This window comes from Homo sapiens, chromosome 18, assembly GCF_000001405.40.
Source record: "Homo sapiens chromosome 18, GRCh38.p14 Primary Assembly".
NCBI lineage: Eukaryota > Metazoa > Chordata > Mammalia > Primates > Hominidae > Homo > Homo sapiens.
In genome coordinates this window covers 5542794-5569047 of record NC_000018.10, presented here as the reverse complement: position 1 = coordinate 5569047, position 26254 = coordinate 5542794, and the positions used below count along the sequence as shown (strand labels likewise).

Sequence of the window (26254 nt, the reverse complement as noted above, 5' to 3'; positions counted from 1 at the left end):
AATCAAACCTACAGATTGTAATCAAGAGGAATTTTGTAAGATTATATTGATAGAAATGTTCCTTAGAGACTGCATAACCAGCATTAAATCAATCTTCAAATAGTTTCTTAAGTTTTAATGAAAGTTTTGGGTTTCCTTCCCTAATTATTCAGCTTGAGCTTTTTATAGAATTTCTTGAGTTCAGAACATATTAGGGCCATGTGAGGGCTCTTCCAGTATCTGGTGAGAAGTGATTAGCACACAACAAAACATATCCTGCAACAACTTCTAAATTCGGAAAGTTAGGGGTCTGAAACTATGGGCCTTAGGAACAAAATATTTAACCTGCTTCCTCCATTCCAGAGCCAGTGAATGTTTTGAATATCTATTGCTAGGAGGATGCCTTGGGGAAAGTTACTGGAACTTCCTTAGTTTCTTCTCATGTTGACAAATAATCAGTATCACCCACAGACGTGTTGCATTTAATTAGGTCTTGCGTGTACTCTGTGGGGCCCCTAGCAATGTGGCTATACCTCTGGGAAATGGAGATCCTTATTTCACATTTAGTGTTTCAAAAGGATTCTTTGATGTGTCAACAAAGCCTTTGCTTTCTCTCATACTTTTTTTTTTTTTTTTTTTTTACTATCCAGAGGAATTGGTAGAAACCATAGAGAAGAGAGAAGGGAAGCTCTTGGGGAATGGATGGAGATGGTACTCTCTTGAGGACTAATGGTCTTCACTTTTCACTTATGCGCCACCTAAACAACACTGAAAACCTACGTACTGCATGCACATTTTTAAGTTCACACCTAAAATTTTTATCTTAAATTTAAATGATTATATAGCATGTAATTTCAGATATTATATATCAGTTATACTTTTTATGACCAAACATCACTTTTATGTTATCTTTTAAATACTGTAGCAATTTTCTATCCATCATCATATATTTCAGAAGCACAAGAACAAACTTTTCTCTTACAGATATTTTGCATCATTTCTTTTCCTACATAAACTTCTGTTTCCATTCTACTTCCTCCTCAAAATATTACCCTAATGTAATATTTTTATGCTTGAAAATATTTTATTGGTTACCATCTGCAACAAAATGGGTATATAAATTTAAATTTAATTTTTCATTCTATGTGACTATAATATTCTCAGTTTTAAAAAATATTCTCTGGATTAAGTGATTGTTACAATGATTAGAAGTACACACTTAGACATAAATGACACAAACATATTACATATTATGACAAATAATTATTACACATAAAAAGTAAAGTGTTATTGGAAAATAATCTCTTAGTAATACAGGCAGAGCATTTTTTTCCCCACTAGCTCATGTATCTGTTGATAAATATTACATATTGCTAAAATGAAACAGGGTTTAGCAACCCCTCCCTTCCTTCCTTCCTTTCTTCCTTCCTTCCTTCTTTCCTTCCTTCCTTCCTTGCCTATCTCTTCTCCTTTCTTTCTCTTTTTCTCTTTCTCTTTCTCACTTTCTGAGATAAGCACAAATAAACTCGAGGTACAAACCTACAAAACTGGATGGATAGAAATGGAAGGAGAACCATATGACAGCGTACAGCCTCCAATTTGAATTAATTTATGAGTTACTTCATATTCTCCTTCTTCAATTTGATTGAAAGGAGAAACTTAAAATGTATCTACCTCAGTGGCTAACAATTTGTTAATCAGTCATTGAAGTAATTCTAATTATTGAAAAAAATTGTTTTCTCGAAGTCAGCACCAATCTCTTAGACAGTTTCTTCTTTCTGCCCACTAGAGGTGTTGTGTCCTGGGACAGTGCACTGTCTGCCTTGGGGATGGGGCCGGTTTGCGTTTGTATTGCCAAGTGGAAGGAAGAGGCTTGTGAGAAAAGAAAGGCTGCAGATACAGCCACTTTCTTCAGCAGAGCTGTGTGAGGATCCAGAAGCTGAGGCTCTAAAAACTGAGTCTCCACCGGGCAAGGCGGCTCACTCCTGTAATCCCAGCACTTTTGGGGGCCAAGGCCAGCAGATCACTTGATGTCAGGAGTTTGAGGCCAGCCTGGCCAATATGGCGAAACCCTGTGTCTACTAAAAATGCACAAATTAACCGTGAGTGGTAGTGTGTGCCTGTAATCCCAACTACTCGGGAGGCTGAGGCAGGAGAATTGCTTGAACCCGGGAGGCAGAGGTTGCAGTGAGCCGTTGGCGCCACTGCACTCTCAAGCCTGGGCATGAGAGTGAGACTCCATCTCCAAAAAAATAAAATTAGAATGGAATGGAATGGAATAGAATAGAATAGAATAGAATAGAATAGAATAGAATAGAATAGAATAGAATAGAATAGAATAGAATGGAATAGAAAAGAAAAGAAAGGTCAGGTAGTGTGATGCTTCCAGCTTTGTTCCTTTGGCTTAGGATTGACTTGGCGATGCAGACTCTTTTTTGGTTCCATATGAACTTTAAAGTAGTTTTTTCCAATTCTGTGAAGAAAGTCATTGGTAGCTTGATGGGGATGGCATTGAATCTATAAATTACCTTGGGCAGTATGGCCATTTTCACGGTATTAATTCTTCCTACTCATGACCATGGAATGTTCTTCCATTTGTTTGTATCCTCTTTTATTTCATTAAGCAGTGGTTTGTAGTTCTCCTTGAAGAGGTCCTTCGCGTCCCTTGTAAGTTGGATTCCTAGGTATTTTATTCTCTTTGAAGCAATTGTGAATGGGAGTTCACTCATGATTTGGCTCTCTGTTTGTTATTGGTGTATAAGAATGCTTGTGATTTTTGCACATTGATTTTGTATCCTGAGACTTTGCTGAAGTTGCCTATCAGCTTAAGGAGATTTTGGGCTGAGATGATGGGGTTTTCTAGATATACAATCATGTCATCTGCAATCAGGGACAATTTGACTTCCTCTTTTCCTAATTGAATACCCTTTATTTCCTTCTCCTGCCTGATTGTCCTGGCCAGAACTTCCAACACCATGTTGAATAGGAGTGGTGAGAGAGGGCATCCCTGTCTTGTGCCAGTTTTCAAAGGGAATGCTTCCAGTTTTTGCCCATTCAGTATGATATTGGCTGTGGGTTTGTCATAGATAGCTCTTATTATTTTGAGATACGTCCCATCAATACCTAATTTATTGAGAGTTTTTAGCATGAAGTTCTGTTGAATTTTGTCAAAGGCCTTTTCTGCATCTATTGAGATAATCATGGATTAAGAAAATGTGGCACATATACACCATGGAACACTATGCAGCCATAAAAAGTGATGAGTTCATGTCTTTTGCAGGGACATGGGTGAAGCTGGAAACCATTATTCTCAGATTCTCAGCAAACTATCGCAAGGACAAAAAACCAAACACTGCATGTTCTCACTCATAGATGGGAATTGAACAATGAGAACACATGGACACAGGAAGGGGAACATCACACACCGGGGCCTGTTGTGGGGTGGGGGGAGGGGGGAGGGGGGAGGGATAACAATAACATTAGGAGATATACCTAATGTTAAATGACGAGTTAATGGGTGCAGCACACCAACATGGCACATGTATACATATGTAACTAACCTGCACGTTGTGCACATGTACCCTAAAACTTAAAGTATAATTAAAAAAAAAAAAAGAAAAGAGAAGAAAACCTGAGTCTCTCTTTTATTCTTTTTTGGAGACGGAGTCTTGCTCTGTTGCCCAGGCTGGAGTGCAATGGCACGATCTTGGCTCTCTACAACCTCCACCTCCCGGGTTCAAGTGATTCTTCTGCCTCAGCCTCACGAGTATCTGGGATTACAGGCACACACTGCCATGCCCGGCTAAGTTTTGTATGTATTTTTTTTTTTTTTTTAGTAGAGATGGGGTTTTGCCATGTTGACCAGGCTGGTCTCGAACTCCTGGCCTCAAGTGATCCACCTGCCTTGGCCTCCCAAAGTGCTGGGATTACAGGTGCGAGCCACCGTGGCCAGCCCAAAAACCCTGAGTCTCTTCAAACTAGACAATTGCCAGCATATGCCTTTGAGAGAAGCTGTGTGCTCCCAGGGGCATGCGTGCTCCAGTCTGAAGATCATTATTGTAAATAATAAATATTTTGCTATGTGGCCGTTTATTTTGAGGGAAAAGTTCTCATTATGAATTTAGTTGCCCTACAGATGCTACCATTATATTTAAAAAGCCGAATCAGGTAGAGTTCTGGTATCTGTGTGCCACCTTGCATTGTCCAGTATCTCCCCCAACCCACTCAATACACAAGCCTTCATCGAGCTTGTGAGTAGCTGCAGGGAACTGGGGTCCTGTTGGTGGCAGGGAGTCCAGTAGGAGTGGGAGGAGTTGGGGAAGGAAGTGAGAAGTTTGATTTCCTTGGGCACTGAGATGAAAAGCTGAGGTGATACAGTTGACCTATCTCAACTTCCTGACCCATTTTGTAGGTGTTTATTGATAAATGAGCTCATCTTCCTTCTGATTTCTGAGAAGGAGAAGCCCTCAGTTCAAGGGCATTACCTCCGCCTGTGCCTTGATCCCCTCTCCTCCAGAAATCTGCCCTGTGACCCACCATCGGCTCCATAATCCCAACCTTTCCATCTCTGTGATTCCTTTCCCTGTAGTTATGATTATGCTCAAGTCTGTCTTATCCTTCAGAAACAAAGCAAACACAAAAACCCCTTTTCCTTGATTAATTTCTTGCTAGCATCCTATCTTTCTCCTTCCCTTTCCTATTTCCTCGTCTCTAACATGGCAGAGATAATAGAGTTATTGAGGGAATTAAATGAAATAATACCTGCAAAACATACAAAGCCCTATCTTTACCTGTAAGACATCAGTAAAACATAGCAATTATTATTATTAGTAGTAGTATCTATAGTCATTTATATTTAAATATCTCCATTTCTTTAAATCTTTCACTCCTTGATACACAGAATTATTAATATTTATCCCCAAAACTCAACTGAAATCGCCCTGGTGAGGCCGCTTGTGACTACATTCTAAATCTAGTGGACTCTTCTGAGCCCTTCTTTTTGTACAAGACTTAGTTAGATCTGCTGTCTCTCTTTTCGATACTTCCTTGTTGGTCTTCCTCAAGACAGCGCTTGTTCAACCTTTACCTGTTGGTGTTTCCTAGGGCTTCATCTTTGACCCAAGTTGTTCTTTTTCACCATACTGCTTTGGGATGAGTCTTAACTTCTCCCTAGTCTCAACCTCTCCTGAGCTGCAGGCAAATATTTTACGGATTGTTAGAAATATGAATTAGATGCCTCATGAGCAACTCAGCCTTAAGCTGTACACAACAGAATTTATCATTTATCTTGTACTCTTTCAGTCTTTCCAACAACATATTTCTCCCCAATCCCTTCTCCTTTATCAAAAAATGGCACCACCCCCAGTTGGGTGCCATTACCAGCAGTTACCTAAGCTAGAAAGCAGGATTCAGGGCAGACTCCTCCTTTCCTAGTCAGACTGTTGGTGCAGTCAGCACTAGTGCATTGAGTGGAGGCTATGTGTCAAGTAATGGGACGTCAAGTCCTGTCAGTTTTTTCCTCCTGCATATTCCTCAATCCATCTTGCTTTTTCCCACCTCTACTATTATTGCCCTAAGAATAATTTATTCATATAATAATGATAATAACTTCTTTGTTACTATTAATATTATTATTTCTTGCTTAAAGAATGGCAAGACTCTCCTACTTGGTCTTCCTGCCACTAACCAGTCTTACATTTCTCCAGTCTTTTCTCCAGAATGCTGTCAAAGTGGTAGCTCCAAAATACAAATAGAACTGTGTTGCTCCCCTGACTACAATCCATTGCCCACAGGGTAAAACTCAAGGACTTATCTCAATGTGCATAATTGTCAATCACTTGGGCCTTACCTGCTTCTCTTCAAAATGTTCCCGTCCTCTCTTCTTACATATTCCCCATACTAATGACTATTTCAAGGATCCTGTGGCTTTTCTAATCCATTTGATCCTTCTGTCTGGAATCCCTTCCCCTCATCCTCTGCCCATCCGTCTGGTAAGACTCAGCTCAGGCTAGGTTAGGTGCTCCCATACTACCTGAGCTTATTTCCAGCAAAGCATTCCCTGCATTAAAAGAAAGGATTGGTTCATGTAGCAGTTGTCCCACTAGACAAGAAACATGTCCATTTCTCCCTCCAAAGCAGAGACCCACACTTTTATTTCATCTCTGTGTTACTGCTACTTAATACTGTACATTACTAAGTCACGCAGTAAGTGCTCAATAAACATCCGAAGAAGGCTGGATGGGAATACAGAGAAAGTATCAGAGGGCTCTGATGGGATCTGCAGCAGTGTGGGGGGATGAGACATCCTCAGGGGCTTCGTGGAGAGAGAGGGTCTGAGCTAGTGGCTGTCACATACAGGCTGTTCATGTTCACTGTCATCATTGTCAATACTTCCATATCATCACCACCACCATGGTTAACATTGATTGGGTTCTGACAATGCGCCAGGCACTATTACATTCTTTAGATAGCTGATTTTGTTTAACCTTCATTTCTAGCTTTACGAGGTTGGTACCCTGACCCATCCCCTTTATAAATATCAAAAAACTTACAGAAAAGTAACTTTAACTTGTTCTAGGTCACACAGCTCATAATTGGTTGAGGGAGAAATGGAACCAAGTCATATGACTAATGCTTCTCTTTTCTAAGCTACTTACGATCCCTACTCTCATTGTTTAACTCCTGACCATCCTACAAGTTACCACTCAATGTGGACACAGAGCAACAAAGCAAGTTATATTTTTTAATCTTTTTTTTTACCTTTAAACTTTTTATTTTGAAATAGTTTTAGACATACAGAGGAGTTATAAACTCAGCACAGAGTTCCTATATATACCACATTCAGCTATCCCTAATGTTAGCATCTTATAAATACACAGCACAATGGCCAAAACTATGAAACCAACATTGGTAACACACTATTAACAAAATGCAGACTTTGTTCAGATCTCGCAATTTTTCCACTGATGTCCTTTTTCTGTTCCAGGACCCAATCTGGGATTCCACTTTGCATACTAGTTGACTCATTAGGATCTCCTTGGTCTCCCATCCATGGCGGTTCTTCAGTTTTCACCTGTCTTTCATGACTTTGACACTTTTGAAGAGTATCTCATCATTTCGTAGAATGTCCCTTAATTTGGATTTGTCTCATGTTTCCCCATGGTTAGATTGAGGGTATGCATCTTGGGAAAGAATCTACAGTGGTAACGTGCCCTCTGTCATATCGGGGGCACATGATATCTATGTGTCTTGTTACTGATGATGTTAGTGTTGATCACTTGGTTAAGGTGGCGTCTACTGGCTTTCTCTACTGTACTGTTAACATGTTTCCCTTTGCGATAATAAGTATTTGCGGGGAGAAACTTTGAAACTATGCAGCTTAAATTTCCAACCACTAACGTTAGCATTCATCAGTGGATCTTCTCTGTAGCAATTATTACTGTGGTTTTCTAATGGTGATTTTTCTATTTTCTTCATTCATACTACAACTATTAATTGGAATTAGTCTATAAGGAAGAGTTGTTTCTTTTCCTCCTTTTATTTTTTGGTTCATTTATTTTTAGGAGTATGGACTCATGGGTATTTACTAGATTCCTTGTGTTATAATCCAATACCTTCATTTCATATTTTTGTTCAAATTCTTCAATCTTGGCCATTAGGAGCTCTTTCAGGCTGTCTCCTGTGTCCTTTCTATATCCCCCTGTCCCCTTTTTAAAGCATTTCTTTACTTTCTGGCACCAAAAGGATGCTCCAGGCTGAGAAATGAAGCAAATTTAAAAAATTAATTACAACTGGCCAGGCGCGGTGGCTCACGCCTATAATCCCAGCACTTTGGGAGGCCGAGGCGGGCGGATCACGAGGTCAGGAGATCTTGACCATCCTGGCTAATACGGTGAAACCCCGTCTCTACTGAAAATACAAGACATTAGCCGGGCGTAGTGGCGGGCGCCTGTAGTCCCAGCTACTCGGGAGGCTGAGGCAGGAGAATGGCGTGAACCTGGGAGGCGGAGCTTGCAGTGAGCCGCGATCGCGCCACTGCACTCCAGCCTGGGCGACAGAGCGAGACTCCATCTCAAAATAAATAAATAAATAAATAAATAAATAAATAAATAAATAAATAAATAAATAATTACAACTATGAATCATATGAGAAAATTAAAATTTCTCATTGGACATGTCATGCAGCCGATCACTAGTCTTTTAGAAGCCTGGTGCTTCTCATAAAGGATTTGCCTCATGTGACCATAAGGAAGCCACAGAGGGTAGTAAGTCCTTCGTTCTCCCCACCCCCCAAAATAAAGCCTTGGAAGTTACCAGGTAGAGTATGGAATGTTACATTCCAGTCACATAACAATACTTGCCATTTAATTTCCTCTCAATAAATGTGCAAATGTTCCCTTTCCTGATCAATGTACCTGAACAAATGTCGGTTTTCAGAACGGTGCGGCAAATGGTGCAGCAGGCATCCTGCGGTGTTCTCTAGGAATTTTAGGATCTGCATGCTCAATTCCCCTATCTAGAAGAACTTGTACTTTACCTGAGGCTTTGACTTAGTTCATAACCAGTTGTCTCTTCCTGCAAAGTGAATTAAGTTTGAAAAAGTTAAAATTAAAAAGTTGCTCTTATCAAGCTGATTGTACTGCCAAAATAGTTTAGACTTTATGTATCTCTGAGGAAGCTTGTTCTTAAAAAAAAACTTTATGGTAGGGATGAGAGTTCTTCACTCTTAAAGTTGCTGAATCTAGATTAGTGTCAATTATGGCTGTTCTTCACCCATCACTCATCAGGCTGTTGCTATGCCATTAATCAAAGGAACCCATCTAATTTTAGGTTTAGCTTTAATCAGCTCTTGTGCTATTTCCATTTTTATATCATCCTTTTATACAAACACCTTAGATTACTTTCAGCATTTTTGTAAGTCATAGTTGCAGAAAAACCTAATCCAGCAAACGAATTTTGAGAGGACTTGTAGGAAAACAAAATCATATTGGGAATGGTCGTATTGTGTAAGGTCAATAGAGGCATATTTTCACATCTGGATGGTGTCATAGTAACTGAGCCAAAGATCAAAATACAATGAAAAGAAAAATCATATAAAGGAAGGCTAAATAACATGCTCATTCTACAGAGTGCATAAAGGCAAAAATTTTAAATGTAGTAACCAAGGTCATAGTATAGGTATGGTAATAACAACTTTTTTCTAGTCCTACTAGGAAAACTGTCAATTATGTGGTAGATGAAAAAGATTTTATTTGGATTATGTACTGAGAATCTGAGATAGTAATTAAACCATCCATAATTTTGTTTAGCTTTCGTAGGATTTTTTTCTAAGGAGGTAACCCAGTAAATGTTGTATGATTGATATGAACTGCAAGAGGGTTTCAAATTACATCAAATAATCATGAGTTTATAAAAAACATCCATAAGTTTATTTGTGGAATGATTATTCGGAACTCAGAAGATATTTTCGTTTAGAAAGACTGTTTCACTTCTTGGTGTCCAAGGTGATTGGATAAGAGCCTAATTAATCCATGACATGCTTAAAGTATGGACAAACTATAGTGTTTCCATTACAAAAAATTGCCATTTTTTGTATTGCTGCTATGACGCTCTGCCTTTAGCATCCTATCTCTAGTGGCTATTGAGTTAGCTGGGTGTTCACAGCTCCAGTGTAAGATTTCTCTGTCCTTGCAAGGCGGGTGGAGAAGTAAGGACTTCTCCCTTTGTCTTTTTGCCTTTGCAAAAAGTCTGTGTTCCAAGTTAAGAAATCTGAGAAATTTCCCTCCTCCATTTATTTGTAAAGAGGGCTTTTAATAAGTCAAGACTTAATGATATAAGAACATTTCATTGTCGAAACCTTTATCATCTGTGTTCTTAGTCTGCAACTTTGGTGTAACTGTTCAACTGTATAAAAGTAAAACTGTAGCCAAATATTTTGAAGATCAAAATGTCCTCTCCAGAAAAAAAAATTGTTTATTCATCTTTATAAGGAGCACATGCCAAATTATTCTTTTTTTGAGATCTTATACAGAAATGGTCCTGGACACTTCACTTTAGCACCAATCACTTAATTAATTCCAGACACTATGTAATGTTGGCAAGGAAAATACTCATAATATTCAAAAAACTCATACTTGATGTAGTCTAATTGAATTACAACACTGCTGTTAAAGACTAAGTACACTTGTAGAATATGAATGTTTGTCCTGTTATGTCCTCGTCTAGAGAATGACTCTTAGGAAAATTAAAGTAATGTATTTTTACTTAAGTATTAATAATAGTAGCTAACTGGTATGTGCCTACTATGTGTTAGGCACAATTGGAGGAGCTTAATATATTTGATGCTGAAAGAACCCCATGAAGTGGGTAATGTAGTCATTTCCATTTTGCAGTGAAGACACTGAGGCCTTGAAGGTTAAGAAACTTACTTCACAGCCAGCAACCTCCAGATCCTGGTTTAAACTCAACTCTGACTGACCAGGCTCATCTCTTAACACCCAGACCATGCACCTTCTACATACCTAAATAAATATATCATCATTCTGCATACTATAGGCGTACACTCTCCACAAAAGTATAATGGTGTCTGGATACCAATGTCCCTATCTGTCACCCATTTCCAAGTGTTTGTTAGGCTCATTTCTGCTTCCCATTTAAAAGGGTCTCATAATTGTTCCTCTGGGAATTGGGATACATTTGCAAATCCCTGATCTTAGTGGTTTGGGTCCAGACTCCAATAAGTCCTCATATCTGTCAGAGTGTTCTGTTTCTGCATTGATGAAAAGAAACTCAACCATTAAATGATGATTTTTTTAAACAAATGTATCAGAGTGCATTCATTCAAAGGAATGTTGTCTTCTGGCAAGTAAAAATCCATGCAGATAAGCTCAGTTCTATCATTTACCTGGTTGTGACCTCAGAGAAGTCACTTACCTTATCTTCTGTAAGATGGGTATAAGAGATTGGCAGGTTTCCTGAAACGTAAGTGACAGAATGTATGTCAAATACTTGCAAAGTGCCTGGCACATACTAAGTGCTCAATAAATTAGTTGCTATTGTGAATGAAGATGATTCTGTTGTTCAAAATCTTGTTGGAACTACTTTTTGAAGTCCCTTCCAAACTAGTACATTAAACTATTCTAAAGAATTTAGTTGAGTTTGTTTATAGTTAAAACTCAGGGTTTTGTTTTGTTTATTTTGGTGCTCAGTGGATCTGACCCCATTGACCCCCTTATTTATTAGCCCAGTGCAAAATCATTTTGGCTCCTTCCAAAAACCAATCCATCTCCAATATCATGAGTATTTGCAATTTTTTAAGTGATTCCAAATGAGGCCTGTATTCTTGAGAGAACTTCTCAAGTAAATGCTATAAAAATGTTTTGAGTGCCTGGGCACAGTAGCTCACACCTGTAATCCCAGCACTTTGGGAGGCCGACAGGGGTGGATCATTTGAGGTCAGAGTTCAAGACCAGCCTGGCCAACCTGGCGAAACCCCATCTCTACTAAAAATACAAAAATTAGCCATGTGGTAGTGGCACACGCCTGTAATTCCAGCTACTCGGGAGGCTGAGGTGGGAGAATTGCTTGAGCCTGGGAGGCGGAGGGTTGGGGTGGGCCGAGATTGTGCCACTGCACTCCAGTCTGGGCAAGAGAGTGAGACCCTGTCTCAAAAAACAAAAACAAAACAAAAAAACAAGTGTTTTGAGCCATTTTTAAACTTTTTTGAATTGTGTGTGCTACAAGACAGGAAAAAAACATGTTAGGAAAAGCCCACATGTCGATATCTATTTTTATATGCTTTTTTAAATATCTGAGGCCTGTTACCTCAGAGCAGATGCCATTTCCTGCACTTAGCCCTTTCCATCAGGCAATATTATCAAGTCTGCAGACCCAGCAGACTAATCAGAATTCCTGGCTGCTTCGTCCCAGCATTTCTAGGAAATGGATCTATAAGCTCAGCACACCTCCCAGCAGTCGAGAGCCACCTCCTTTACTTTATCAAATGGGCTGGTTCTCCAAGGGCCTTCCTGCTCAGCTTTTGCAGCTATGTGTCCACAGAGGTGAGAGGAAGGAGGGAGACCCCCGGGGCCCCCCAGCTGTGCTGGCAGAGAGAGAGTGGCCATGTGGTATTATTGTGAGCCCCCGTCATCACCGTGACACACCATTATATGGCATTGAGAGCTTACTGAGTGCTTTTTTCATGAATTATTTCATTTAATCCTCTCAATGATCCTTGAAGCAGGTTTAGTCACTCAGTTTATAAATGAGAGAGCAGATGAGGCAATGCAATCCAAGCCAAGGTCAGAGAGCTGGGAGGGAGGAGCGGGGCAGAGGGCAGGTCTGTGGACTCCATGTTTCCTGCTCTGTTCCCCACAATGGTCCATGGACAGACAGAAAAACTCATTGTCTCTTGGGGTTTCCCTCAGTCCATCACAGATCGCTGTACAAATGTCGCTTATTTTTCTGCCCTCTAACTTTCCTAATGAGATTAATCACTGGCATCCAGGGAGCAAATGTGAATCAGTATCAAAGTTTAGAGTCTGATCCTCTGAATTGAAGAATAGTTGAGTCATTCTCCCGCCTCTTGTGGCAGCATTTCAACACCAAATGTTCCTACTCCAGCAGCACCGCTAGGGAAAATTAAGGTTTTGGTTCCTGGAAGATAAAGTGTCGTCAGCAGCTCTGGCTAGTCCCCTACCCAGAGTAGCTGCTCAATCCATGTTTGCAAAGGATATTGATAAATATTTGAGTGTCCATTGCAAGCTTCACTTAAATGTCCAAGATCTGAAAAGCCTTGTTGATTTTCTGTCTTTTTGTTTGCTTTTTCCTTTGTATCTAGCAGAAGTAGTGAGCCCCTGGCTACCAACTGTGGAGGCTGAAACCTAACCATTATGTACTGTCCTGATTCCAATAATGACAGTCCATCAACATTTATTTATTGCAAATATTCACTGAGCGTCTCTTACATGCCAGGCAGTGTGCAGGTTGGGGACACAGTGGTGAGTAGAAGCAACCCAAGTTCCCTATTGGGACTTGCATCTAGTGAAGGGAGACAATGGTTCATGGAATCGCCACACACACAAACGCATAGGTGCAATGTTTGAAGCAGAGGGACTGATGCTACCAGAACCCTTGCTGAGGATGTGTGATCTAGTTAAGGAAGCTGAAAAAGAGGAATGGAAAGATGGCTGGGCCGACGGGAGTGGAGGAAGGGAACACTTACAGCATCGAGGCTGCATTTGAGAGTGTTGTCTTCACCTGAGAACAATGGGATTGGAAAGTTCTAGGCAGGGGTGAGAGCATCACCTTTGTATCTCTGAGTGCTCACTCATGTCCCGGGAAGCTGGATTAGAAACCTGAGAAGAGACTATTTCAGGATAGGATGTTGGTGTGGAGTTGGGGAGATGTGGACAGAGCCCAGAGATTATTTAAGGTGAAGTACAAAGGGCTTGGTAATAGATCTGACAAGAGGGTTTGGGAGAGAGAGTAAGGTGTCCAGGAGATGCCTGGGTTTCTAATTTGCATGACTGGGGATTTGTGGTTTCATTCACTAAGCTCTCTACTACCTTGTGCTAGGACATTTTTCAGCTCCTTTTAGGGCTAACGTGCCATGCTACTTATTCTGAAAAATACAAATGTGAGTAAAAGAGACCCACTGCCCTCACAGAGCTTACAATCTAGTGGGTCAGTACAGGGGGATTGGTTAAGATACACCTCTACCAACTCACTGTCTCCTTATGTTTTCTTGAAGTATGGAGGTTGCATAAATTTGGCAATGGTCAACACACATGAATGCCCTCTCCAGAGAGTGACTAGGGGATGGGAGGTCCTGGAACTTGGGTGCCCTGGTGGAGGCAGAGGTTGGGGATAAGGAGATCGATGAAGGAATGACCTGGCGATGTTTGAAAGGGCACTATGGATCACTGAAGAAAGCTTAATGCAGACCAAATGGAAAAACACAGCACAGGCTTCAAGCCTGAAATGACAGAATCTAACACTCATCTTTAGTGGGCATGTGAAGCGCAATCAAAAGAAGTGAGCCATGTCATGGGAGCAAGTGGGATGACAGTGATTTGTGAGGACGAAGGGTGGATTGCGACGTCTTCTCTTCCAACAGCCCCGTAAAAGTATTCACTGCTTGATGGTGGCTAAATCTTTATAAATATCACCATGGCAACCATTGATATGAGAAATAATGTTAGCCTGGACACTTCTGCTTCAGATGCTCTGACATTTTGCACTGCAGTGGTCACTGCCATTGTTTGTACACATGAGCAAAGAGGGCCCTGCTTGAATCCTGTCACATTTTCTTTTGTCCTCAGAATATAAATGCTTATTAAATTGCCCCTGGTGTTAACAATGGCCCAGTGGCATTTGGGGAGGGGTGGCTTTACCATTCTTCCCTCTCATCTCTGGGTGTGTGGTGGAAGAGGAGCCCTACTGGTGTCACCAGGGTTGGCTCAGGAGTAAGGAATGGGGTTTTCCTTAGGGTGATTGGGAGTTGCTGCCTAAATTAGTTCCATGGTTGGAGGGAACCAGTGTATGTTGCATATAACTATGTCACATTTTTATCATATATCCACCATTCCCTTAGATTTAGTTTCTTCCTTCCAAATCTCCTTCCTGTGTCTAATCCCAATCCTGGGCAAGCTAATTCTTCAATTTTATACTTGTATCCTTCTGATAATCCTTCCAAAAGAGTCCCATATTTTATAATCTCTGAGCTTTTTAAAATTCTTTCATTCAACACACATAGATTGAATGCCTTCTCCATGCCAGGCACTGTTCCAGGTGGCTGGACCCCTGTTTTTGTGGGACTTATGTCTGGAATGACAGAAGACAGACAATAAACATGATAAATAAGGAAATGATATGCCATGTTAGGTCATGGGAAAAAAGGAGAGTGGGATAAGAGAATAGGTGCTGGGGTAGCCCCGTCACAGTTTTGCTTTTACTGTGTATATTTAAGGTGTGCAGGGCAGGCCTCTCTGAGAGGCGACGGGAGCAAAGACTTGAAGTAGGCAAGAGCATTAGTATTTCCTAGAGAAGAGCTGATTCCAAAGCTGACGGTGAGAGTGCACCTGGTTGTGTGAGGAACAGCAAGCACAGAGTGCCTGGAGTGGGACGGGGAGTGTGGCTGGCAGATATGTTCAGAACGGTGGGGCTGGTTGGGGTGAGGGCAGATAACACGGCCCCCAGAGGCTTTGAACAAGAGTGACGTGATCTGGCTTATGTTTTACCAGGCTGACAGTATCTTCTGTTTGGAGAATCACTATAGGGGTCTCAGGGTGGCAGCAGAGACAGATGTGCTGAGGTGTTGCAGGAACCCAGACAGGAGATGGTGATGGTTTGCACCAGGGTGCCAGAGGCAGGTGCAGTGAGAAGTGGCTGATTCTGGGTATGTCCTGAAGGTAGAGCCAGCGGGATCTACTGATGGATGAGAGCATTCGCCTTTGCCCTTTTTCTCAAACTCTTAACTTGTAGACTGCTCTTCTTGGTCAAATGGATACATGTTTATACAATGACCCCATTTTGGGCACAGCTTTTTGAAATTAATTTCCCTTTTCTGTAGAGGAAATTCCAAGGGAACCTTATGTAATTGTGTAGGGGCAGTTTAGCATCATGGTTAAGAGCATGGACTCTACAATAAAATTGCCTGGTTCTACTACTCACCAAATATGAGGCCTGAGACAAGCTACTCAACCTCTCATTTGCCTCAGTTTTTTTAATCACTTGTAAAATATGGATAATTATAGTTCCTACCTCATAGAATTGTGAGGAACAAAGAGATAATGTGCACAGAAACCCCTTAAAACACTGTGTGGCACACAGCAGAGGTAAATACAAGTTAACAATAATAATTATAATTTTATTAGCGGTTGCCTTACAGTCTTTTAGTAGCTTCTTAGACTATAAACAACCTGCATATTCTTTCTAAATTAGTGACTTTTTGGAAGACTTTTTCTGTTCTTTAATGTGTCCATAGTAGTAGAAATAGTCTTTTCTTAACTCTGTTTCTCTTCTTTGTAGCCAATGCAATGTGTTCTCATTGGAGTATATTATTGTACTCTAAAGTTACTGCTCTGAAAGTCAAAACTGTTGAATATTGGCAATTTCATATGATTTAACTGAATATCTGTGTGTATGTATTTATTTGACTGTCTACTTAGAGGCTTTAGAGGACTAGCTCAGAAGTCAGACTACCCGAGCTTGTGTCCTGGCTCTGATAGTAAAACCTGTGTAACGTCGGGCACCTTATTGAAACAGCTTCTGCCTCATTGACCTCTTTTGAAAATAAGGGTAATAATAGATTCTACCTTGGAGGGTTCTGGTGATGGTGAAAGTTATTTAACTGGAACAATAGCTTGTAAAACAGTTCCTCATACAAGATAAATGCTCAGTAAATTTTAGCTCTTAGTGAAAACAGATCCCTGGGCCAGGCATCGTGATGTACCAGTATCCCAATGCCTGAACACACCTGGGGAAAATCGCTAGATCCAATTCATAAAACGTCAGGTTATAGTCACTTAGACACAATTTCCTACTGGCTCCTCTAATTTTTCAAATATTTTTATCTGTTTCATCAAAAAGTACCTGCTGGAACCTTCTATTATTCATCATCTGAGATAACCACAAGTACGCGTGTGTAACTTCTACACATTACACAGAAACTTGGAATAAAACCACAAATGATATTTTTTTCTTTTGGGTGTTTGAAGAGTTGTTGAAATTCTAGTCACGATATTTAACGTGTGATGAGTTCTTTATGCCTGTTGTGAAATATGCCAGCATTTTATTGACACATTACTATGAACTGGGTAGCCAGCTACAGTAATAGGTTTCCCCTAGGTTGTGAGAATCAACAAATCTGATGGCAGGCACTGCCAAGCAAACCCAGCCTGTTCAAAATTGACTCACTTCGTAGAGAATGGGCACATGCACATGTCATCCAGTGGCTTCTACAAGGACTTCAGGTAATTTTTTAAAGATATAAATAAGTGCTTGTTATCAATGTTTATTTTTATAGCCTCTCTCTTTTGAGGAATTCTTAACATTCAATTTAAGTATGTGCTTTAGTCTTCTTTTACCTGTTTCTCAACTCCATTTACTCCTAAAAGTCACTTGGGGAATGCTGAAAGATACTGCTGCCTGGGTCCCACTCTCCAGAGGTTCTTATCTAATTGGTTTGGGATACAGCTTAAGCATCAATATTTAAAATTTTTTAAATATAAACTTTCAATTATGAAACCTTTCAAATGTACACGAAACAGAGAGAATTGTATAAGTCCACATGTACCTATCACCCAGCTGTGATAATTCACTTCAGTGCCTTAAAAATTTTGTTTTGTTGAGATAGGGTCTTGCTCTGTTGCCCAGGCTGGAGTACAGTGGCACTATCACAACTCACTGCAGCCTCAATCTCCCAGGCTCAAGTGATCCTCCCACCTTAGCCTCCTGAGTACCTGGGACCACAGGCATGCTCCACTACGCCAGGCTAATTGTAAAATTTTTTGTTGGGGTCTCAATATATTGCCCAAGCTGGACTCAAACTCCTGGGCTCAAGTGATCCACCCGCCTCGGCCTCCCAAAGTGCTGGGATTACAGGAGCGAGCCACCGTGCCCAGCCTTCAGCGGATGTTTTTTAAAAAATCCCCCCACGTGATTCTGCTAATGTGCAGCTGTGGTTGAGAACCACCCGTCTGTGCTAGTAAAACAGAAAATGGAGGGAATATTTCAATGAATATTGATATCACATCAAGAGAAGTGGAAATTTGCTGAAGGTTATACAACGATTTTCAGATATTACTTGGTGCTCTGTTCATCAAGCTATAATGGCATTCAGGAGGATGGCATGTACTCACTGCACGCCTGTTTGATTCTGTTAAACAGTGGGATAATTTGGGAATAGGCATTGAGACACCCAGGAAAAATTCCAAAATAGACTTAATGATTTCCCATTCAGAGTATTTATACCTTGACTCCAAAAGCAATATCATGCCCAGCTACTTATGTTAATTCACCAAAGCTTGGCTCAGAGGTAAAGAAAGGTTTGATTAGAGAGGTTGAGGACTTGTATAAATCTAAGCAGATTAGAGTTGATGGATCTGAGAAGACGTGGGAGGGGAAGAGGTGGTGGAAACTGTCATGAGATTTATGGAGAAAAAGCAGGGAACCAGTGACAAATTAATCTCAACCTATAATTGAGAAGTTGTTGGGGATTCAAAGACCATGTACATATGTACATGAGTGTTCCTTCATGAAGTCAGTGCTTGAGTTGCTACCTCAAACAGGGTAGGCAAGCCCTGGTTCCAGAGTGGCAAACATTTGGAACACAATTTCATCTCCCAGTTGGACAGGAATTTATAGCTGATTTTGCCCAAGTGCCCTCCTGATAGAAGAAGCCTTCTGGGGCATTACTAACAGATGTCATCTGGTATCTCCTTAAACATTCTAACTGGAAACTCACTGTTTATAAAACAGCCTGGCCCATATTAGAATGATGGTCCTCTTTTATTGAGCTGAAATCTCATCCTTTAATGAAAGAAAATATTTCTAAACATATATGGATGTAAAACCAGATTTAAGTTTATAGGGCTCATCAAGTATAAAACCAAAATAACCTTAATAAATTGATAGGAGAAATGCAAGGCCTGAACACTAAAATTAACAACACACTAATTTAAAACGATAAATGATATTGTTTTTCTGAAATAAAATTCCTCATGTTGTGCTTTAGAAGGATGGAGCCTCTGGTCAGTTTCCTTATTTAATTTGGTTCACTAAGTTTTACTAAGCAGCCCAGGGAATGCTTGTTTGCCTAAGTATGGTATACCAAAATGTATTGAAATTCTCTATTTGCAGGGTTTAAGATAGTCAGATCTCAAAGTTAACTAAAACTGCCGGCAATTAGTCCTCAATTTCCCATTTTAATGAGACATCCCTTGGCAACTTTGTAAAAACTTGGAAATTAAGGTCAGAGTTGCAGTGTTACTGCAATCTTTAATAAATAGGCATCTAATCCAATTATTGCTGGAATTGGGAACAGGACAATCCTTTATTGTTATTTATTACTATACTTACTGCTAATGAACTGCTGCTGCAGACTGATGCATGCAATGACAGGATCCAAGCAATAACTCCTGCAAACTGTGAATCGTGTAGTGTAGATTATCTTCAGTTCAGCTCTCGTATATGTCTGAGTGGGCTGTTTTTCCACCCGTTTTCGGTTCCAACTTCTATGAAACATCTATCTGAACGCACTTTGTCACCTGTGGGATTTTTGGTATGGACTGGTCGCCTAGATCAATGGTTCTCAAGATTTGGTGTGATTTATAATCACCTGGGGAACTTGTTAAAAATGGCTGCTCCCTGGACCCCACCCCAGAGCTTCCGACTCAGTTAAGGCTGGACCCCAAAATTTGCATCATTCACAAGTACTTTGAATGATTCTGATATCAATGGTGTGCATCTGGTAGTTTTATTCTTTTTAAGATTTTTATTGACACAGAAATGTAAAACTTAGAAAACTGTTCACAAATAAGCCAGTTTGAGAAACTCTGGTATCCTCAGATTTGTATCATTTACAAATGAGTCAGCCTTGGATATCAGACAAATCCCTAATAAACATCTTGCATAGGAAAGTGTTAGTAGCCAAGGCTTTCTTTCAAATGGCTTTGACCTATTGAACAAATTTATTTTAAGGGACAAAGATATTCTAGATGATGTTCTCAGTGATTCCCAGAGCATTCTGGAAGCTGTGGACTACAGTGGAATGACATTTTCAGGTTGTACCCTCACTGTTGAAATCTGCAAGCCAGTGAGACAGTTGGAAAGGGGAAAAAAAACATGCTGGAAAACAGGAATTAAATTAAGAAACAAAGCTAATGCTTTTTCCTTAGAGTAGTTATTGCTGTATGTTTATTAGTTTATAAAGTTAACCATCACACATTTTCCTAAAGAGGAGATAGCATTAACAAGTTAATAAGCCCGACTTCTGAATGTGTCTTACTATCTATTATTTCTTCCTCTGTTAATTTTTGTTGATAGCTTCTGGGGTGAAACATAATAGCTGATTAGGATTACTTACAGCTTTACAGGGGATGGACAGGCTTGCTGGCATTTATTTTGTCTTTTGGGGGAAAAGTGATTAAAATGTTAAGTGTCTTAGCATATAATTCAATAGTGATCATGTGGTTGAGAGCTGAATTTAATATTACAGATTAACAACTTCCATTCTTTATATTCTAGCATTCATATTTTACCATTCCATATTTATACTAAAATCCTAAATAGAAAACATTCTCAGTGGATTTTTTATTTTTACTTAAGAACAGAATCATTGAGCATTTACATTTAATGAAGAATTGATCACTAGAATAACCCTTACAATTTTATCGTTTAAAAGTACTGAGACTTATTTCTAAAATTTACTGGAAATGGAGAAAGTAAAAAAATCAATAAGGATATGTTTTAATACAATAAAACTTACATACTATGTATGGGTCCACCTTTAAGTCTATTCTTTATATAAGAATACAAAGATAAAAAAGGCAAATATGGAATTCTGATGAATAGGAATGATTTTAAATGGTGTTAGCATGCCTAAACTTGCTCCATCTTATGTATACTTTTCATACATTTTGTGCTACATTTATACTTATCAATACTTTATTTCGTTTTGCATCTGTGCCTTGCATGTAGACAGACCCCTGAAATGGGGTATACAAACTCAATATGAAGAGAGCATCTGGAAGCCTTAATGAGCTGTAAACTTAAAGCTATTCTTAGAACCTAGAAACTCTTCAATGAATTTTTATTTCAGAAGAATAAGCTTGTTGCTTTTGAATTATGCATTCATCCCTGTATTTCTCTTATTTATGGTCCCCAGTAACGCTGTGGCTGAAGACTTTATATCCTGATTTCAAGAACTTGATATGCAATTCAGGTGCCTGACATTATTCTGAGCATAAAATAAACCTCAACTAGTTATTGCCAGTGTTGTCAACATTTCACTAAGGCAGCAGATCAGGTTGAATAAATGAGGCCAAATGAGTGTGAATGTCTATTAGGGTGGCATTTGTAGGGTTTGCTCAAGCGTCAATATTTCTTCAATTTTCATGTTTGAGAGCAAAGTTCAGATAAGTTTAACCAGACTGATTCTCTATTATTTCTTTCTGGAGTCTCATCCATAAGGCTGACAACATGGCTGTCAATACAACTGCAAATTCTGTCCTTGTCTTGGCTATCAGGTTGGAATTATCATTGCTGTTCAGGTAGCAGAATACCAGTTACTCATTCACTCAAGAAGTCAGTACTCTATTGACATTTGTGGTGGAATAGAGGTTCATGGGGGATCCAATCTCTTCAGCTTGGGATGAATTTACACACATATCTTACCTGAAGTAAGCTGCACCCTTTTCTCTGCACCTTTTCTCTGGCTAGAATTCTTGATAGCTGGTGACCTTCAGTGATATAAATTATATAGAGTAATTTCAGGAAGTCCATAAATAAGATTAGCGTAGAGAAAGCCCAAGTTAAGGTAGTGGAGATCAGAATGGGCATCCTAAGACCTAGGCTAGAGTCATGGAATCTTTCCTGACTTTCCATGGATTGTTTCAGTATTTGCATAACACTCTCTTTAGTACTGTGTGGACATAGTAAATTAAGAATCTGAAGAACTGAGTTCTCATGCCAAATTGGCACTAATTCTAGGACTGTGTAAACGGCATTTACTGGACCCAAGAACTACTTTTCTATAACTTATTGAAACAGCACCACAAGGGGGGTTACATTGACAAGAATAAAGAATTCTCTGGGGCTATAGTGGCTTTATTTTTGGTAGTGAGAGGGAAAAGGAGAGAAGTTAGTATTCTAAGAAAGCAAGCAAATTCAATCATAATTGTATCTTCACCTTGCTTTCTACTTTATGTTCCTTCTCCTTTCTGTGTGGAAGAGCTCATTATTTCCTGATGAGAGCTAAATAGTAGGGTTTTCATTATTGCTTTTACTTAGTAAGAGGTGATACATCTTTTAGTTTTATAGGCCCCTAATATTATTGAACCATACAGAATTTTGGAATCAGTCCCTTTTATACATGAGGAAGCCGAATCCCTGAAGAAAAGTGACAGCTTAGTTCATTATTCAATGTCCATTCATTCAGTTAGCAAAAATGTGAAGTGCTTGGCTTGCAATGTGCCCAGTGAGGCACTGTGGGGAGACAGAGAGGACTAAGAGAGGATCCTGCATGGGATTCACAAGAAAGAATGAAGAGATCGCTATTATCAAGATGCAGGCAAGTTGCTGAGGGAGCTATGCAGCTATGCACCCCTCATGAATTTGACGTTTCTTTTTCTCCCTGTCTGTGCTAGGGGGAAAAAAATAATAGAGGAGAGACTTGGTTAAATCCAGAGGATTCCAAAGTAATTGCTTCCAAGATTTCCTATCAAACTATGCAGCAGTATGGTTTTTACTCCAAATTTTCAATTCGTGGAATATTACCATAATTAGGGTTTTGTTTGTTTGTTTGTTGTTGTAGTTTTTTGAGACGAGTCTCTCTCTGTTGCCCAGGCTAGAGTGCAGTGGTGAGATCTCGGCTCACTGCAACCTCTACCTCTCAGGTTCAAGCAATTCTCTGCCTCAGCCTCCTGAGTAGCTGGGATTACAGGCGCCCACCACTATGCCCAGCTAATTTTTGTGTTTTTAGTAGAGACGGGGTTTCACCATCTTGGCCAGGCTGGTCTTGAACTCCTGACCTCGTGATCCACCGGCCTCAGCCTCCCAAAGTGCTGGGATTACAGGCATGAGCCACTGCGCCTGGCTTAGATAGGTATTTCTAATTAAAAAAATACTTAGTTGTCTAACATTTTTCTCCCAAGAAAATTGCCATTCAGACACTATTGCTGATTTTCATCACCACAAAGATTAAGATTCATGAGTCATAAGAAAAAGTTTGCTTTCAATTTTAAAGAATAGCAAAAATACTGCAACAAAATGAATGAAAATATGGAGCCATCTGTGTCTTGAATGATAATGCCAAATGAGTGTTTATTGTAAACAATACAATTTATTCAAGTCCACTTTCAATGGAGTGCTTTAGTGTACATGCAAAAAAGGAAAATGAATTCTTTCTTCATTCACAGACCTTATGTGCTACACACACACACACACACACACACACACACACACACACACACACAGAGTCATACAGGTGCGTATGTGATATGTGCATATATGTCTCTAATACTCATACGCAACACTTTCTGACAGGAAATGCAGTTAATTCCCAAACATCCACTATTGGAACTGTCACCTTTATCTGTCACCTGAAAGACAATTCAGGCCCTCATTACCTCTGGTAACTGTCTTAATACCATAGTCTCCTCCGAACACCAACCTGGTATTTGCCCATCTGTTCTAGTCTTTGCAGAGCCATAAGATTAGTTTTCTTAAAACATTACTTAAGTCACACTTTCTTGCTCAAAATTTCCCAAAGCTACACATCTATAGAATATAGTCCCATAAACTCCATAGCAACATAGTAACTATAATTTTCCAACCTTCTCCCTCTTCAACATGAAAAAACCCTTCCACTCCAGCCAAGGAAATCAAATACCATCCTCCTTTCCTACCAAAGTCTTCCCTATTCTAGAAACCTGCGCCAAGTCTCCCCACGTCTCCGGGCCTCACTGACAGATCAGGCCCACTAATCTTTCCCAGAGGCACGTGTTCTGTATCTTGTCTTTGGCACCCAGTAGCAAATGCAATATTTTTGTGAATCCATTTTTTTCCCTCTTTTAATGAGTCCCTGAGCTCCTGGAGGGGCAACCGGATGATTTGGAGAAGGCTCTATTTTAAAAAAATTAATAACGTACAACATGAAAGGGATCTGATGTACAACACGAGGACTAGAGCTAAGAAGTGTCTTGTATTCAGGATTTTGCTAAATGAGTATATTATAGCTACTCTTGCCACAAGTAGAGGGGTGTTGGGGGAAATGCATAACTATGTGAGTTGATAGATATGCTAATGTGTTCCACTATAATAACCATTTTACTATATATGTATCTTATGTTGTATGCCTTAAATATACATACAATTTATTTTAAAAATTAAAAAAATTTAATATTTTATTTTCAATTTTTGTGGGTACATAGTATGTATATATGTTTATGGGGTACATGAGATGTTTTGATACAGGCATGCAATGTGTAATAATCACATCATGGAAAACAGGAAATCTATCCTTCAAGCATTATCATTGGTGTTACAATTCAATTATACTTTATTTTAAAATGTACAATCAAATTATTTTGACTATAGTCACCCTGTTGTGCTATCAGATGCTATGTCTTATTCACTCTATTCTTTTTGTGCCCATAAAAATATTTCTTAAATATCTTGGTTAGTCGGTTAGATCTTAAGATATTGTGAGATGACCAGGAGTTACTTCTTTCACTTACAAGTCAGTGAGCCACCTCCGCTCTTTAAAATCAAGGTAAATTTCGGTGGAAAGCTTTATAGATACTGGAGAGGACGGAGTAGCTGAGTTGCTGAAAAATGGGCGACTTCTCTTATCAAGCATTAATTCAGATCTTCTCTATTAACATGACTTGAAGACACCACCAACTTGATTTTATTTTCTTTCCAAAAAGAAAAAAAAAATACTGCAGTCCCTAGCCAATAAATAACTCACCTGAAGGTCAGGAACACCCTCTCCCTCCTTTCTCACAGGGGATGTCTGGGAGGGGAGAGGGGTCTGGAGAGGCCAGGCCATCATCTAAGTGGGAATAAAGGGCTAAAGCTATTGGCATTGGCAGCTGTCTCCAGGCGTCGTCCGCGGAGCCTGACCCTGCGCCAGGACGGAGGAGGCTGTGCCCATGTAACTGTCCTGAAGTACTGCGGTGGCCCCCTCCCCCGCGGCTGGGAGGGCAGGCAGGACGAGGTTGGCTTTCCTCGCACGGTCTCTGGGCGTGGGCCCCCGCCGCAGCTCCGCGGAGCCTCGGTGTCTCCTGCAACAGGGGGCGGGGGGAACAGCGGCGAGCAGCCCTGGGCTGCGGCTTCCTCCCCACGCCCGAGTCTCCTGCGCACCGCCGCCGAGGACGCGCGCCCGAGCCTAGTCCCCACGCCGCGGCGCGCCCGGGCTCCCTGCTGATCCCAGGTAACTTTTCCGCCTCTCGGAGTGGGGGACTGCGAGGGGGTCTCGGCTTTACGAGGTGCGGAGGAAGAGCCCGAGGCCTGGGGCGAGGCGCGCGGGACAGTGGGGCTGACGCGTGGCTTCGGCGCCGCGCGGTCTCCCGAATCCCGAGCCCCGCGCCCGGCGCGGCCGGGGTCCCCAACCGCCCTCCCGCTCGCCGGGACCCCCACCGGGCCGAGCCTGCGCGCCGCGCCCCCCGCCCGCTCCGCCCGCCGCGGCGCAGTAGTGGCTGGGCCGGCGCGCAGAGCCTGAGCCCCGGCCTCCGGCCTGGGGGCCTCCCTGGGATCCCTGGCCGAAGGGGCGACTCGGTCCCCGCGTCCCTTCTCCGCCAATTTGCACAAATCCCCCGCCCGGGGCGCCATGTTTTAAGTTGCCCCTCGGGCTGGGGGCGAGCGCGGGCCGGCCCCTCCCCCGGGGAGGTGCGGGGGACAGGGGGCGACACTGCGGCGCCGCCCGGGCGGGTGGCGGCTGGCGGGCCGCGGGAGGGGCCCTGCGCTCAGCGCGCGGCGGCAGCGGGCTCGTCCCGGGTGCAGGCGCGGGCGGGCGCAGCGCGGGGCCGATAAGGTGCGCTCCGCACAAAGCATCCCCGCTGGGCAGGGGGGCCGGCCGCTTTTATATAACTTGCCTCGTTCCCCAAACTGGGGCAGCGGCCCCCGGCCGGTGGGGGAGGAGGAGGGAGCGTCCAAGCGGGGTTGCCCTGGGCCTGGGCACCTGCCGGGGCCCCTCGCCTCTGGCACCCGGGCGCGGGAGCACGGGCGGGCCGGGGGCGCCTGGGTCGGCCTGCCGTGGCCCGGGGGCTCGGGGCGGCGCGACTCACCTGGCGCCCTCGGGGCCGCGATTCTCCTCGGGAGGTGTCTGCGAAGGCGGCTCTGCCGCGGTGGGGGTGGGGAGGCTAGGGCTTCGGACCGCTGGAGTTGGGGTCGCAGCCAGTTCCTGGCGAGTGTTTCCTGGCTGCTGCCGCAGGGGCTTGCTTTTTCGGATTTCCCCTCTAATCTCGCCGGACTTCTTCCCCTTCCCCCCCACGCCCGCCAAGTTCATGGCTTCTGCAATGCGGTGGGTGTGGTTACCTAGTAAATTGTAACT

The 26254-nt window shown here is 41.6% G+C and overlaps 1 protein-coding gene and 1 long non-coding RNA gene across 40 annotated transcripts in view; one reads left to right on the top strand and one right to left on the bottom strand.

Moving 5' to 3' along the window:
* The window catches only part of EPB41L3 (erythrocyte membrane protein band 4.1 like 3), a 238278-nt gene that overhangs the window by 61616 nt on the left and 150408 nt on the right, over positions 1-26254 (top strand). For 21 of the 37 annotated variants that reach the window (XM_047437382.1, NM_001384696.1, NM_001384692.1 and 18 more), the window contains exon 1: positions 25051-25135. The exons of the other annotated variants lie outside the window; for them this stretch is intronic. The gene's annotated coding sequence lies outside the window, so the exon portion shown is untranslated. Of the gene's footprint in view, positions 1-25050; positions 25136-26254 lie in introns of those variants that run through there. 37 annotated transcript variants of the gene reach the window in all.
* On the bottom strand, positions 5890-26219 carry LOC107985145 (uncharacterized). 3 transcript variants are annotated; one of them, XR_007066440.1, is made up of 4 exons: positions 25989-26219; positions 24671-24754; positions 10912-10952; positions 5890-8553 (listed from the first exon to the last, which is right to left on the bottom strand). It is a non-coding gene; the product is annotated as an uncharacterized LOC107985145 (long non-coding RNA). The 3 variants fall into 3 exon arrangements; XR_001753334.2 differs by lacking the exon at positions 25989-26219 and having other exon boundaries at positions 5890-7733; positions 8516-8553; positions 24671-25037; XR_001753332.2 differs by lacking the exon at positions 25989-26219 and having other exon boundaries at positions 24671-25037.